Source organism: Homo sapiens, chromosome 1 (genome assembly GCF_000001405.40).
Source record: "Homo sapiens chromosome 1, GRCh38.p14 Primary Assembly".
In the NCBI taxonomy this organism is placed as follows: Eukaryota; Metazoa; Chordata; class Mammalia; order Primates; family Hominidae; genus Homo; species Homo sapiens.
Genome location: NC_000001.11, coordinates 167,808,713 through 167,825,545, shown reverse-complemented (window position 1 = coordinate 167,825,545; position 16,833 = coordinate 167,808,713). Strand labels below are relative to the sequence as shown.

The 16,833-nt window shown below is 41.6% G+C and overlaps 1 protein-coding gene across 9 annotated transcripts in view, besides 1 other annotated feature; it reads left to right on the top strand.

The window, feature by feature from the left end:
* Window positions 1-16,160, top strand: part of ADCY10 (adenylate cyclase 10) — a 104,749-nt gene extending 88,589 nt beyond the window's left edge. For 6 of the 9 annotated variants that reach the window (NM_001167749.3, XM_011509762.4, XM_011509763.4 and 3 more), the window contains 7 exons: window positions 691-895; window positions 974-1,070; window positions 2,423-2,538; window positions 3,405-3,522; window positions 7,279-7,474; window positions 14,633-14,821; window positions 15,707-16,160. In NM_001167749.3, the coding sequence (NP_001161221.1) occupies window positions 691-895; window positions 974-1,070; window positions 2,423-2,538; window positions 3,405-3,522; window positions 7,279-7,474; window positions 14,633-14,821; window positions 15,707-15,868 (1,083 nt within the window). In that variant the 3' untranslated portion in view covers window positions 15,869-16,160. Of the gene's footprint in view, window positions 1-690; window positions 896-973; window positions 1,071-2,422; window positions 2,539-3,404; window positions 3,523-7,133; window positions 7,184-7,278; window positions 7,475-14,632; window positions 14,822-15,706 lie in introns of those variants that run through there. The other 3 variants (XM_006711449.5, XM_047425153.1, XM_005245330.6) reach the window with 3 other exon arrangements.
* Window positions 5,113-5,262: a silencer, noted in NCBI's record as "silent region_1538". NCBI's record gives its function as "represses an Ori minimal core promoter by ATAC-STARR-seq in GM12878 lymphoblastoid cells {active_cell/tissue: GM12878}" and the evidence as "EXISTENCE:reporter gene assay evidence [ECO:0000049][PMID:35858748]".

Genomic DNA, 16,833 nt, shown 5'->3' with positions numbered 1-16,833 from the left:
CTCCTGAGTAGGTAGGACTACAGGCATATGCCACCATGCCTGGCTAGTTTTTGTTGTTGTTGAAACAGGGTCTCACTATTGTGCCCAGGCTCATCTGGAACTCCTGAGCTCAAGCAATCCTCCTGCCTCGGCCTCCAGAAGTGCTGGGATTATAGATGTGAGCCACTGCACCTGACCTCCAAATTAGGTTTAAAACTAGTCCTTATTTAAAAAAAAAAAAAAAGCCAAACAAACAAAACCAACCTTTCTTTCTTTTTTGTTAAATTACAAAAATTATACATGCTTGTTATAACAAACATCACAGAGGTGCATAAAGTAAAATCTCTCCTCCCACCCCCAACAAATATATAACTACTGTTTACACTTTGGAGTGTATCCTTGCAGCCTTTTTGCTCTGCAATTATACATCTAATATGTAAGCTATTGCTTTTATTTTTCACAGAAATTAAAATTTTTATATTTCATTTAAGGACTACATGGGCAAGGGGCCATCAAGCTTATCCTGAATGACTCAGTAAACAGGTAGCAGAAACCCAATTTGATTTCTATTTCTAAGCCCATGGCTTCGGCCAAATGTCCAGCTCTATTCCCAAACTTAATAAACAAACATTTACTGGCAGACATTGAGTGATGTTCCTGAGCTTTCTGCTTTGCGTTCTGCCTCACTCTTCCTCCACTCTGCCATTTCAGATCATTAAGGCTTACCTAGACTATTCGCTATACCACCACCTGGCTGGCTACAAAGGTGTGTGGTTCAAATATGAAGTCATGGCCATGGAGCACATCTTCAACCTCCCCCTGAAAGGCGAGGGCATTGAAATCGTGGCATACGTGGCTGAGACACTGGTCTTCAACAAGCTCATAATGGGACACCTGGATTTGGCCATTGAGTTAGGTAAGGGCTGGCTGGGCAAGATGGGACATGAGGATACAAGGAATGCCCCACAATATACTGGAATTGTTTTCTTCCCAGGCTCCCGAGCCCTTCAGATGTGGGCACTGCTCCAGAATCCCAACCGACATTATCAGTCCCTCTGCAGACTTAGCAGATGTCTCCTTCTGAACAGCAGGTATTTATCTTAAAGCATTTTCCAAAATTAGGGGGAGGAGGCCGTATTATTGAGTATTCTGGGTTCAACTTTAGCCTAGTCCTAGGGTGGGGAAGGGAGTAGAGTTTGCAGTAAGAAAATGTAACTGATAGTAGTCACCCTTTTTTCTTTTTTCAGACAGAGTCTTGCTCTGTCTCCCAGGCTGGAGTGCAGTAGTGCAATCTTGGCTCACTGCAACCTCTGCCTTCCGGGTTTAGACAATTCTCCTGCCTCAACCTCCCACGTAGCTGGGATTACAGGCAACGTGCCACCACACCCAGCTAATTTTTGTATTTTTTAGAAGAGAGGGGGTTTCACCCTGTTGGCCAGGCTGGTCTTGAACTCCTGACCTCAAGTGACCCACCCACCTCAGCCTCCCAAAGTGTTGGGATTACAGGCATGAGCCACTGCGCCAGGCCTTGTCTTTTTTATTTTAAACAGAATTCTTTGCCTTGCATCATCTCTAATCTGGTTGCTCTGGCCAGTGATCAGAGGGTAGTCAGACAGTCATCCCAGCTGTGGGAATCAGGCCTCCACTTCTGTCAGGTGGAGACAAAGGGAAAAGTCTTCCAGGGAGGCAAATGGCCAGAGAATAGCAACCAGGACTAGAGGTCAAGGCCAATTTGCTCTGACTCTGGTCACCCTGATATAGAGGACCCAGGAAAGAACAATTTGAAAAAAGAGCCAATTTGAGATTGAGGTTTTAGTCCTGGATAGGGGTGTGTTTGAAATCTGTTTAAGAGGTATATTTGGTTCCGAATTACTGAGAAGGACCAAGACTAGACCAGGAAGGGACTTTACTGAACCTCATCCTATCCACTGCTTTTTTTATTCAATAGCTTTGGGGGTATAAATGGTTTTCGGTCACATAGATGAATTTTATAGAGGTGAATTCTGAGATTTTAGTGCACCTGTCACCCGAGCAGTGTACACATACCCAACATGTAGTCTTTTATTCCTCACTTCCCTCCTCCCCTCCCCTCCGAGGCCCCAAAGTCCATTATATCCACTGCTTTTTTTTTTTTTTTTTTTTGAGATGGAGTTTCGCTCTTTTGCCCAGGCTGGAGTGCAGTGGTGCGTTATTGGCTCACCACAACCTCCGCCTTCTGGTTTCAAGCGATTCTCCTGCCTCAGCCTCCCAAGTAGCTGGGATTACAGGCGCCCGCCACCATGCCCAGCTAATTTTTGTATTTTTAGTGGAGATGGGGTTTCACCATGTTGGCCAGGCTGGTCTCGAACTCCTGACCTCGTGATCCACCCACCTCAGCCTCCCAAAGTGCTGGGATTACAATATCCACCACTTTTTAATGGCCACTACCTTTTCTTTTCCATAGATACCCGCAATTGATCCAGGTGCTGGGGCGGCTGTGGGAGCTTTCTGTAACACAGGAACACATCTTCAGCAAGGCATTTTTCTATTTTGTCTGCTTGGACATCCTGCTTTATTCTGGTAAGTGTGGGTTTGGGATGTAAAAGAACTTGGGGGTGTTGATACCTGTGCTGGTGTGGTGTGGCAGCTCTCAGGTTGGGGCTTTGGGACCACTAGGTTTCTGGCTGGTGGACTTACAGGGCAGGGATGGAGAGAGGCTGGTTGTGTGAGCTGAAGCACTGTCTAGCAGGTGCCGAGATTGTAAAGGCACGGCAAGAAGGAGAATTAAGTCTGAAGGAACCTGATGGATATGAGCTGCCAGTTAAACTGTCAGATCAATTTGCACCTAAGTGATAGTGGCTGACTGTCTTACTATGTGCCTTTTACCAGGGGTTTTTAACTTTTAGCAGGATGTACTTAGAGACTTCACGCTTTAGAATGAAGGACTAGATTGCTTGAGGTGAGAGTTCCAGGCTGGTAGCTATTGGTGATTTGGAAAATAAGTTACTTCCTGATAACCTTCAAGTGACACCAAGTAGGTCACTTGAAGTGTACACACTAAACCACAGGAACCAACCTGAATTGTTTTCCCCACATGTGATCTTGAAAGGGGATGCAGACATTGCCATCAACAAAGGAAGCATGTGTGGAGAGACAGAGAAGTCCTAGGCTGCACTAAGGCCAGGAAGGATTAGTTTAAACCCCACACCTGCCTGGTCGGTACTGTGGAACTGTAGTATATATCCATAACACTCCCCAATAGGTAGGACTCAGCAAACACAGGGCAATCCAGTCATGAGGTTGTTGCAATCCACGGGACCCTCTGGATTCATACAATAATCAGAGGCAACTCTCCCTGCAGTGGGAAATTCAACTGAGAGTGACTAGGCTAGAAAGATGATCACCCACACCTACTAATAACTCTCACCCATTCCTCTCTCTCTTAGGTTTTGTTTATAGAACATTTGAAGAATGTTTGGAATTCATACACCAATACGAAAACAACAGAATCCTCAAGTTCCACAGTGGACTCCTCCTGGGACTTTATTCCTCTGTAGCTATCTGGTAACAATGTGTGGCATATCACTAAATTCCCAAAGTGAAAATGTTGAATCCCAAGGAAGAGTTCTTGAAAAATCTTTTAGAAAGTATTCATAATTTATACCTGAGACAGCTTAAGGGTGTCAGAGGATATTTACACAGAGAGACATGTTAGGGATCAACTAGTTCATCCCCCTTGGCCAAGGACAGAAAAGTAAATTTATCTCAATTACATCCATGCAATAAACATTTATCGCAAACATATCATGTTGTGGTGATACAGGGATAAATAAGAAAAGATTGCTTTCTTCAGAGGGGTGCTGGGGTTTGAGGAAGACTAATGAATAGCACCACTTGCCCACCCGGCACCTGCCCATATCTAATCACATGGATTGACAAAGCCAATGTTGGAAGACATGGCTTATATCTTCACGAAAGCGGGCTTCGTAATATTGAGCACTGGAATTAGACTTAACCCATTCAGCAGCAGGCAGTTCTGGAAAACTGTAGGTCTACTCACATGGAGGCAGGCCTCTTGTAGCAGAGAGATCAGTATCACACTCCCTGTTGGCTTCACTGGCTCTCAAGATAGAGAGAGACACGGACTGAGTTATACTTGCCCAATTCATCTCCCAAATCACCAGCAAGATCTCTCCTTATCATTGAAAGGGCAAGTAAAGCGGGGAAAGAGTTCTGGTGCTTTGCACCAAATAGAGGCCCCTTACATGGAAGGAAATTTCAGGAGTGAGGAAGCAGCATTCTCCCCGCACCCCATTAACTCATTAAGCCTAAGGCTCAATTCCTTTAACCTACTACGTTTTTAACTCAGTTAAGCATGTAGCTATTATGGTCATACCCTTAAGGAAGGAGATGAATGCTAAGGTTCTAAAATGGGTCAGAACAGAACATTCATTAAATTATTTCCATGACTATCCCCAAGACTGAAAATCGCCCCCTATTATTTTATTTCCTATCTTAATTATATGCAACCGTATGGTCTATCAGAGGTTTGTGATGAGACTAAATGACAATATGAAGACATTCCTATATAAAATGCTACAAGTTAGAACAGCTCCAAATTGGAATAGAAATCCACCCCTTCCTTCTTTCTGAGACAGTCTTGCTGTGTCACCCAGGTTGGAGTCCCGTGGTGCGATCGCGGATCACTGCAGCCTCGCCTTCCCAGGCTCAAGTGATCCTCCCAAACACCTCAGCTTCCTGAGTAGCTGGAGTTGCAGGCACATACCACCACGCCTGGCTAATTTTAATCTTTTGTAGAGATGGGATGTCGTGATGTTGCCCAGGCTGGTCTCCAACTCCTGGGCTCAGGTCCCGTCTACCTCAGCCTTCCCAAATGCTGGGATTACAGGCATGAGCCACTGCACCTGGCAAGAAATCCCCTCTTATTATTAAAATTAATGAGGAGAAATTAAAATCCAAAAATTGATTACTCTTGCCAATTAAAGTTCAAAATCAAATAACTTACCAATGTGAGTTAAAGGTTAAGGAATCTAAAGTCCAGAAATCATCCAAATTTATTTTTCTTGTCTATCTCAGCAGGAGAATTTTTTAAACAGCTGTGTCCTAGGCCAATGCTGCTCAGACTTTAGTGGGCATAAAAATCACCTGGAGGGCAGTCGGCCAGCTCTCGGGGTGCTGAGCCAGGCGGGCTAGGCGAGGCGCGGGCTGGCCCCGCCCCTCTGGCCGGCCCCGCCCCTCAAGGCCGGCTAGTCCCCTTCCCAGAGACTTGGCTAGGCGGCCGGCGCTGCGGCGCCAGCAGCCCTGTGGTGGCGACGACGATGGACCAGGACCCAGTGGGCCCTGTGGAACGAGGAGAAGCCGTCGCAGCCTCGGGAGCTGCGGCCGCCGCGGCATTCGGGGAATCTGCGGGGCAGGAAATTAAGGGATCCAAAAAGCTGAGTCATGGTCCAAAAGGAAACGTTGATGTCAGGACAACCATAGCCAAATTTTATCTCAAGGATGAGTAACGAAAGAGGCTTTGAAACGTAGAACTGGGAGTCATAGGAAAAAAGAAGAAAGTCCCAAGGAGAGTCATCCACTTTGTTAGTGGCAAAACAATGGAAGAATACAGCACAGATGAAGATGAAGTTGATGGCCTGGAGAAGATGTTTTGCCTACTGTTGATCCGATTTGGCTTTAAATATTTGGCTATTAGAAAATCATGCCGGGCGCGGTGGCTGACACCTGTAATCCCAGCACTTTGGGAGGCCGAGGCCGGCAGATCACCTGAGGTCGGGAGTTCAAGACCAGCCTGACCAACATGGAGAAACCCCATCTCTACTAAAAATACAAAAAAATTAGCCAGGCATGGTGGCGCATGCCTGTAAACCCAGCTACCTGGGAGGCTGAGGCAGGAGAATTGTTTGAACCCAGGAGGCGAAGGTTGCGGTGAGCCAAGATCGCGCCATTGCACTCCAGCCTGGGCAACAAGAGCAAAACTTGGGTCTCAAAAAATAAAAAAAAATAAAAAATAAAAAAATCATAAGCAGGCCAGGAGCAGTGGCTCACGCCTGTAATCGCAGCACTTTGGGAGGCTGAGGTGGGTGGATCACCTGAGGTCAGGAGTTCGAGACCAGCCTGGCCAATATGGTGAAACCGTGTCTCTACTAAAAATATAAAAAATTAGGCAGGCGTGATGGCAGGCGCCTGTAATCCCAGCGAGGCAGGAGAATTGCTTCAACCAGGGAAGCAGAGGTTGCAGTGGGCTGAGATCGTGCCATTGTACTCCAGCCTGGTCAACAAGGGTGAAACTCCATCTAAAAAAAAAAAAAAAAAAAAATCGGATTTTCTACACAGAAAATATTCAAAGGATTGTACCATATACTCTGAAGGTAGTTCCAAATGCAGGTAGAATATTAAAGAGGTATTTCATGCAATGTAAGAATTGTTGGAATAAATGTCTTATTTTTAATTACTTTGAAGGGTTAAAAAAAAAATCACCTGGAGAGCTTGTTAACTCAGAGATGCCACACCCCCAGAGCCTGTCTGATTCAGTAGACCTGGACTGAACCAGAGAACCTGCATTAATGAGAATCCAGGTGATACTGATGATGCCAGTCTGTGGACTACATTTTGAGCAGTACTGGCCTAAATCATCTCTCTTTGGTATTGGAACAATTTCTTCAAGCCCCAGAATCCACAGCTCCAAGTGTCTGATCTCCCTCACTTTTTAATTTAAAAAGCCAAAGTGGCCGGGCATGGTGGCACAGCCTGTAATCCCAGCACTTTGGGAGGCCAAGGCGGGTGGATCACCTGAGGTCAGGAGTTCGAGACCAGCCTAGCCAACATGGTGAAACCCCGTATCTACTTAAAATACAAAAAATTAGCTGGGCGTGGTGGTACACACCTGTAGTCCCAGCTACTCGGGAGGCTGAGGCAGGAGAATCACTTGAACCCAGGAGGCAGAGGTTGCAGTAAGCCAAGATTGTGCCATTGCACTCCAGACTGGGGGACAAGAGCAAGACTTCGTCTCAAAAAAAGAAAAAAAGCCAAAGCCAAAGAGTTCAATGGTGGCTAATATTACCTGAGTGTTTCCAAGGATTCTATTCATCTCAAGTCATCAAAAAAATTTATTATTTCCTTGCTCTGTATCACATAATTTCCTGCTTTTTTAGGGAGTGTGAAGCAGGGGTAGGCAGGAGACTACACACTTCCAGAGACCCAGGTAAAGGAAGCTGCACATCCAGAGAGACATTTCAGAAAGCCAGCCTATTCCTAATGGGTGATACTGATTTTTCTTATTCTCTTGTGGTAATGCAGGTATGCCAGACTTCAGGAATGGGACAACTTTTACAAATTTTCCAATAGAGCTAAAAATCTTTTGCCAAGAAGAACCATGACACTTACTTACTATGACGGAATATCTAGGTACATGGAGGGGCAAGTTCTTCACCTTCAAAAACAAATCAAAGAACAGTCAGAGAATGCCCAAGCCAGTGGGGAGGAGCTACTCAAGGTGAGGCCTATTCTCCAGTTTCCAGTATAAAATATGCCTTAAATGGATCTCTGTCTACTTCCTGTGCTAATTATTTTCTCATTATAGAATTCATATATTTTTATAATAGAAGTTTTTGAAGGCACTTCCCCAAAGTAAGAAAGAAAATATAAATTGCCCATAACCTTACTACTCAGAGATAAGTACTTTTTGTATATTGAGATCCCACTTTTCAAGTATTTTTCTGTGTGTGTGCATGCACATTTCTCTATTTTGTAATTTGCTATTAAATATATTATGAATAATTTCCTGTCATTAAATTGTTTTTCACATCACGATTTAAAAGGAAGCATGGTACTTTATCTTACAGATATATGATTGTATGGCCTAATTATTATTGGATAGAACTTTTCTGTATGATTTTATTGCTATTGCTGTGATAAAGCATCCTGGTAGACAAATCATTCCACACGACAATTTAAAAAATTCAAATATGTATTAAGCATATTAATACAAGAGTGCTGGGGCGCAAGAGTGAGCAAATTAAACACCTCCAAGAGTTTACAACCTGGCATGGGCAAGCCCCCAAGAGAATAAAGGGCTAAATCTCTGGTGTTGGGTTGACACGTTTGCCTTGTTCTTGTAAACACTGAGCACAGGTGTACTAGTTTTCTATTGCTCTGTCACTCATTACCACAAAGTAAACAGCTTAAAACAACACCCACTTCTTAACAGAGCCTCCCTTTGTCACCCAGGCTGGAGTGCAGTGGCGCAATCTCGACTCACTGCAACCTCCGCCTCCCGGGTTCAAACAATTCTCGTACCTCAGCCTCCCAAGTAGCTGGGATTACAGGCACGTGCCACCATGCCTGGCTAATTTTTGTATTTTTAGTAGAGATGGGGATTTCACCACATTAGCCAGGCTGGTCTTGAACTCTTGACCTCAAGTGATCCACCCACCTCAGCCTTCCAAAGTGCTGGGATTACAGGTGTAAGCCACCATGCCAAGGCCAAAACAACACCACTTCTTAACTCACAGTTTGGCGGGTCCAAAGCCTGGGTGGTCTGGTCTGGGATCTCTGCTTAGGAGATGTATTTACATAAGTAGACATAATTGAATAATTGAACACATTGTTGCTGTTATTTTGAACAAACTGTCATCTTTTAGAATAAGAAAAGGAAAATTTTTATTTTACCTCCACTTACTCCTTCTTCAATGCTTTCTTTCTTTATGTAGATCTAAGTTTCTGAACTACATATTTTCCTTCTCTCTAAAGAATTTCTTTAACATTTCTTGCAAGTCAGAGCTATTAGCAACAACTTCCTTCAATTTTAGTTTGAGAAGTCTTTATTTTGTCTTCAATTTTGAAGGATAATTTCACTGGGTAAAGAATTCTAGGGATTTTTTTCCTGTCAACAGGTCATGGCACTGTCTTCTTGCTTGCATGGTTTCTGAGGAAAAGTGAAAGGCAATTCTTTTTTTGTTGTTGTTCCTTTATAGAAGTCCCTTGGGCTTCTTTAAAACTTTTTGTTTTTCTCTTTTTTTTGAAATGGAGTCTCACTCTGTCACCCAGGCTGGAGTGCAGTGGCGTGATCTTGACTCACTGCAACCTCCACCTCCTGGGTTCAAGCAATTCTCCTGCCACAGACTCCTGAGTAGCTGGGATTACAGGTGCCCGCCAACATGCCTGACTAATTTTTGTATTTTTAGTAAAGACAGGGTTTCACCATGTTGGCCAGTCTGGTCTTGAACTCCTGACCTCAAGTGACCTGCCCACCTCTGCCTCCCAAAGTGCTGGGATTACAGGTGTGAACCACCGTGCCTGACCTAAAATTTTTTATCTTTGATTTTCTGTAGTTTACAAATTATATGCCTATGTGTTGGGGTTTTGGGGCATATATCCTACATGGTGTTCTGCGAGCTTCCTGGATCTGTGGTTTGGTGTTTGACCTTAATTTGGAAAACATTTCAGTCTTTCTTGCTTCAAGTATTTCTGATGTTACTTTCCTCTTTCTTCTCCTTCTGATATTTCTATTATGCATCTAGTATACCTTTTGTACTTATCCCACAATCCTTGGATATTCTGTTATGGTTTTTCTTTTCTAGTCTTTGCTCTCTTAGCTTGTCAGTTTTGTAGGTTTCTATTGATATGCTCTTGAACTCAGAGATTCTTTCCTCAGCGGGGTCCTGTCTACTAATAAGCCTGTCAAAGGCATTCTTCATTTCTCTCACAGTGTTTTTGATCTCTAGCATTTATTTTTTGTTCTTAGGATTTCCATCTCTCTGCTTATATTGCTCTTACATGCTCTCTACTTTATTCATTAGAGCTTTTAGCATATTAATCATAGTTATTTTAAATTCCCAGTCTGATAATTTCAACATCCCTGTCATGTCTGCTTCTGACTTGTGTTTTCAAACTATGTTTTTGCCTTTTAGTATGCCTTGTAATTTTTCTTGATAGCCAGATATGATGTATCAGGTAAAAAGACTTTGTCTAAATAAGTCTTTAGTAATGTGATGGTAAGGTGTGAGGAGAGGGAAAGCATTCTACAGTCCTATGATTAGGTCTCAGTCTTTTAGTGAGCCTATTCCTCTGGACTAAGAACTTCACAAGTGCTTTTCAGTCCCCTCTTCCTTAGGTGGGACATAATGGCTAGAACTGGGTTTAGTTGGGTATTCCTCTTCCCCAAGATCAGTTAGACTCTAGTAAAACCCCTGGAGGTTAGGCTCTGGTTACATAGTTTCTCCTGAGGGCACACCTTGTTTAGAAAAACGGAGTACTCTGGCATATTTCAAAATGGTTCCTTTTCCTCTTCCTCTGCTGAAAGAATGAGAGATTTTTTTTCCTCCAATATTTACTGAGAGATCCTGGTTGAGCTTCTGGAGGTAAAACACACAAAACTGTGGGGGCTCACCTGAAGGTGTTTGGGGTTTTTTTTTGTCTAATTTTTGTTGTTGTTGTTGTTGGAGACAGAGTCTCACTCTGTCGCCCAGGCTGGAGTGCAATGGCGTGATCTCGGCTCACTGCAACCTCCGTCTCCTAGGTTCAAGTGATTCTCGTGCCTCAGCCTCCCGAGTAGCTGGGATTACAGGCACCCGCCATCATGCCTGGCTAATTTTTGTATTTTTGTAGAGATGGGGTTTCACCATGTTGGCCAGGCTGGTCCTGAACTCCTGACCTCAGGTGATCCGACCACCTCGGCCTCCCAAAGTGCTGGGATTACAGGCATGAGCCCACGTGTGGCCTAATTTTTTTTTATTGTGATCCAAATACACATAGCATAAAACTTAACATTTTAATCATGTTTAAGTATGCAGTTCAGTGGTATGAAATACATTTCTAATGTTGTGTATCCATGTCTGCCCTCCATCTCCATAACTCTCTTCATCTTGTCAAACAACAACTCTATACCCATTAAGTGTATGTTTGTTATATTTAGTTGGTTTATTGTGTTGTCTAAGTCCTCTGTGTCTTATCTTTTGTATAATTGTTCTATCCATTATTGACTGTTAGTGAAGTCTCCAACTACTATTATAGAACTGTCTATTTCTACCTTTAATTTTGTCAGTTTTTGCTTCATATATATTGACGATCTTATTGGATGCATAAATGTTTATAATTGTTATATTTTTATTTTAAAAATATAATTATAAAACAAATGTTTATAATTGTTATATATATTTTGCTGTATTTAAATTTTTATTAATATATTATTCTTTGCCTCTTGTAAGTTTCTTTCTGATTTAAAGTTTATTTTGTCTGACATTAGTATAGCCACCTTTATTCTCTTTGGGTTACTATTTGTATAAAGTATCTTTTTCTATCTTCACTTTCCATTTATTTGTGTCTTTGGATCTAAAGTGAGTCTCTTTTAGTATGTAATTAGATCATGTTTTTAAAAAATCCATTCTGCCAACTTGTTTTTTTGTTGAGAGTTTAATTCAATTTAAAGTAATTACTGATAAAGAGGGACTTGTGTGTATCATTTTGCTATTTGTTTTCAATATGCCTTACAGCTTTTTCATTCCTCATTTCCTGAACTAGTGTCTTATTTTGCATTTAATTTTTCATAGTGGAACATTTAAGTTCTTTCCCCATTTTCTTTTGTATATATTCTATAGCTATTTTCCTTATGGTTACCATGAGGATTACATTTAGCATCCTAAAGTTAACTTCAGTAATGCACAAAGAACTCCACTCCTTTAATAGCTTCCCACCCCTTTCAGTTGTTGATGTCACAGAATTACATTTTTGTACATTATATGCCCCAAAACATAAATGAATAATTATTTTAAATGATCAGTCTCTTCAATTATGTAGAAAACAAACTGTGGAGTTACAACCCAAAGTTACAATACTACTAGCTTTTGGGCTACTAAATTTTAAAAACGTATTAATCTCTTAAAAACGTAGAAAACAAAACAAGTTACAAACTGTTATTACAATAACACTTAATTGTCCATGTATTTACCTTTGTTGAGATCTTTATTTCTTCTTAGAGCTTTGACTGTCCTTTCATTTTACCCTACAGGGCTCCTTTAGGTATTTCTTGTCTTTCTTTCTTTTCTTTTCTTTCTTTTTTTTAAGGCGTGGGCATTTTTTGGAAGAAAGTCCTGGTGGTAATTAACTTTGTTTTTGATTGTCTGGGAATGTCTTAATTTCTCCCTTATCTTCGAAGGACGCTTTTGCTGAATAGAAGACTCTTGGTTGACGGGTTTTTTTTTGTTTTTTTAATATTTTGAATGTATTGGCCCACTGCCTTCTGACCTCTAAATTTTCAGATGAGAAATCTGCTCATGATCTTATTGAAGATGTCTTGTATGTGATTAGTTGCTTCTCTCACTGCTTTCAAGTTTTGTGTCTTTCACTTTTCAAAAGTGATTATATTTGTCTCAGTGTGTATCTCTTTAAGTTTATCTTACTTGGAGTTTGTTGAGCTTCTTGGATGTTTATATTCATGTCTTTTATCAAATTTGGAAAGTTTTTAACCATTATTTCTTCAAATATTCTTTCTAGTCCTTTCTCTCTCTCTTCTTCTTCAGGGACTTCCACAATGCATTTATTGGTTCACTTCTTGGTGTTCCACAAGTCCCTTAGGCTCTGTTAACTTTTCTTCAATCTTTTTTCTTTCTGTTCATCAGACTCAATAATTTCCATTGTCTTATCTTCAAGTCTGCTCCCTGTTTAATTCTGCCTTTGAATCCCTCTAGTGATTTTTTTAAATTTTAGTTATTGCAGTTTTCACCTCCAGAATTTCTTTTTGGTATATTTTTAGGTTTTCTGTCACTTTACTGTTATTTCCATTATTTTCATACATCAATTACTTGACTTTATCCACATTTTCCTTTAGTTCTTTGATTATCTTTAGAGTTGTTTAAAAATCTTTGTGTAGGATATCTGCCATTAGGTCTTTTTCAGGGACAGTTTCTCTTGATATTTTTTCCCCCTTGGGATGAGCCATGCTTTCCTGTTTCTTGGTATGCCTTTTTGTTGTTATTATTGGAAACTAGACCTTTGAATCTAATAATATCACAGCTCTGGATATCAAATTCTCCCTCTTCCCCAGGGTTTTCTGGGTTTTGTTGTTGTTTTTGTTTTTTATTGTTGTAGGCTGTCTCTATGCCAAGGATCAGCCTGAGGTGCAAACTTAAGGTCTTCCCAGATCTTTTCTGAGCCTGTGCCTTTCCCTAGGCATGCACAGTCACTTTCTAATTTTCCTTTTATAGGCAGTTGCTTTTGAATGTCCTAGTATTTAATGTCTGGCTGTCAAGGTGGTGGAGGGTGGGTGGAGAAAAAAATAAAGTTGGGGGAGGAAAGGGCAATAGCCCTTTAAATCCACTGGAAGTCACTTCAACTGGAGTGGGAGGGGCTTGCAATGACGGGGAGAGGTGCAACAATGACTGCCTACCTCTTCCATCAGAAGCAGCAATTGGTGATCAGAGCACAGATCCCTGATATCTCAGACAGGGTCCTTTTTGCCCACCCTTGTTCCCACAAGTTGTACGCAGGTTCTTCAGGAGCATGTGCACAACAACTGTCTGCCACAGGTTTTGAGGCTGGGGGACAGGCAGCTGTGCTAAGAGCTGAAACTGAAATTAACCTCAGTTTACCATCCAAGCCTTCCTCTGGTATTTACAAGCCTTCAGTAGACTCCAGAGTTCTAAAATAGTTACATTCTGACAGATTCTGCCAGTGTAATGATAGTCTAGGTGGGGCTACAGATAGTTGGTACTTCCTACTCTGCCGTCTCTCCAGAATCCTCTTCTCCCTAGAGTTTTTAACTCCCAGACCGGTCCAGTCTGAGTTTCTAGCAATTCATCAATTACAGTTCAGGTTTTTCTAGCCTGGCACTGGTTCCCACAGTGGTTTCCACTTGTGAGTCTCCATCTGTTTGTCTCTCCAGTCTTAGGGGCAGCAGTTTGCCCTGTGTTCTCACTTCTCTTATGGATCCAAGAATAGTTGTTGATCTTCCAGTCTGTTCAGCTTTATTTATTTATTTATTTTTGAGATGGAGTCTCACTCTGTCACAAGGCTGGAGTGCAGTGGCACGATCTCGGCTCACTGCAACCTCTGCCTCCCTGGTTCAAGCGATTCTCCTGCCTCAGCCTCCTGAGTAGCTGGGACTACAGGCGTGCACGACCATGCCTGGCTAATTTTTGTATTTTTAGTAGAGACGGAGTTTCACCATGTTGGCCAGGATGGTCTTGATCTCTTGACCTTGTGATCCACCCACCTCGGCCTCCCAAAGTGCTGGGATTATAGGCATGAGCCACTGCGCCCAGCCTGTTCAGCTTTTTACTTGTTTCTAGGACCAAGTGGTTATTTCCAAGCTCCTTACATGCAGAAATGGCCAATTTTTTTTCCTAATTTTTCAACAATTAACTTGTACTGCCTTAATAATCATAATAATCAAAATAATTTTTTAAAAAAAGTTATTGCAGAGAAGTAATGATGGGATCTCTCAGGTCAATTCCTGATCTCAGTGGACCATGGTGGCTACTCTGCCTGACATTTATTGTCTTATCTCCAATACCTACTGTGTATGTCTCTATAATGTATTTTCTCACTTGATTGCTTAAATCCTTGAAATGTTCCCAAATCATCTGTGAAGGAAATAACTTACAGTCAAGGACCCCTGTTTAATTCTAATATACTGTTGTGGGTTTTTTTTCTTTAGAACTTGGAGAATCTGGTGGCTCAAAATACCACTGGCCCTGTCTTTTGCCCAAGGCTCTACCACCTGATGGCTTACGTCTGTATATTAATGGGAGATGGGCAGAAATGTGGCCTCTTCCTGAACACAGCCTTGCGGCTCTCTGAAACACAGGGGAATATACTGGAGAAATGCTGGCTGAACATGAACAAAGTATGTATCATCAGCTAGCAAACCGGGGTGGCGATGCTCACCCATATAAAGAAGCCCAGAAGCCTACTGCCTGGTTAGGTTTCACCAGGCTGCCATTAACAAAATATCTTAGACTGGGTCATTGATGAACAATAGAAACCTACTGCTCAGTTTTGGAAGCTGGAAGTCCAAGATCAAGGCTCTGGAGATTCGCTGTCTGGTGAGGGTCCGTTCCTCACAGATGGTGCCTTTTGCTGTGTCCTCACATGTCAAAAGGATGGAAAAAGAAAATTTGCTCCCTCCAGCCCTTTTATGAGGGCAGAGCCCTCATGACCTAATTACCTTCCAAAGGCCCAACTCTTAATACCATTACCTTGGGGGTTAATTTTCAACATATGAATTTCAGGAGATGCCAACATTCAGACCATAGCAGTCACCATAGGCCTTTCTGGATTCTTACCAGAAAGGGTGACATGTCCATAGTTCAGGATTGTGAGCTTCCTCTTCCCCTTTAAGTTCTCATGGTCTCTCTCCCTCATCCAAATCCCCCTTAGCATGCCCTCTCTCTGCCCTTCTTTGTGGCCACTTTCCACTTTGTGTTACATCTGTCTGCGTGTCTTTCCTCTCCTTGAGAATGTGAACTCTTTGAAAGCAAAAACCACACTTAGTGCCTAGCACAGAGCCCTATACTCAGTTTTGTTGAATAAGTGAATGAATGTATGAGTATATGTGTGTATTTAAAGAGGGCTGTGTCAGTATCCTAGTTTGGACAGCAAGATTCGTTTTTGTCTATGGGTTCACATGGTTTTTACCAAAGATGTTTTGCCTTGTTTGATATTGGACTAACCTTGATTACAAAAGTCAAGAAGCACTAATGATTTCTTTGTTCTGTTTCTTTCCTCTCAGGAATCATGGTACTCAACCTCTGAGTTAAAAGAAGACCAATGGCTTCAGACGATCTTGAGTCTCCCATCATGGGAAAAAATTGTAGCAGGCAGGGTAAACATTCAGGATCTTCAAAAAAACAAATTCCTGATGAGAGCTAATACCGTGGACAATCATTTCTAACATGTCAAAGAAAAAAGATTTTAATAAGCACTATGTCCTTGTGATTATCTATTATTGACCTTTCTCCGTGGCTGGCCCACTCCAGGTTCCTACATAATCTCTTCTGTTCCAGACACAGAAACAGACATGTTGATTTCTTCTCTTTCTGGAGGGCCTACAAGGGTCAGGAGTGTCATGGTTTACTTCTTCCTAATGTTACAAAAAATTGCTTTTACCATTCATGTTGTTTTAGCTTGACCTGTTTATTTCAGCCCATGCAAAACTGTATCATATTACAAATTATTAATCTCAAGATGGTATGACATCGTGTGTTGCAAAAGACATGTTTCTAGTTAGTATGTTAACTGAAAATACTTATTTTTAAATGTCCAATTGTTAAGTCTTTTGGAGGTAGCACAATATTACAAATAGCAAACATTTGTCATGGTCTACAAAGACAGAATTAGAAAAGATACATGTTTGTAGGGCCTGACTGCAGCTTCCAAAGCCAGGGTGATGTCTTAGCCCCTCTAACCACATGCATCAAATATCAAATAAAATTTTAATATCAGATAAATATGTTTAATATAAAATAAAGATCAAGTTTTAAAAATTAAAATATTAATAATTTTTACACGGGTATCTTTTACATATTTAGAGTTTACATGTTTTTTTATATTTAAGAAATAACATTCATTCTTCATCATTTCCCAGATGCAAAAGCAAGGCTGTGCATTTTTTCTCCTGATCACATAACTGAGTTCCACAAACGAGGTTGGACAGACCCAGATGATACCACGAGGTTAACCACAGAGGCCTGATGGCCTGGCATGGAGGGAAGAGCTCCAAGCTAAGAAATCAGAACATTAGGTTCTAACATGAGCTCTGCCATAAGCACACTTTATTCCTGTCTGATACATACACCCTGCCTGATCCACATAACTTCACTATGTTAGTGTACATTTGTGAATACTGAATAAGATAGT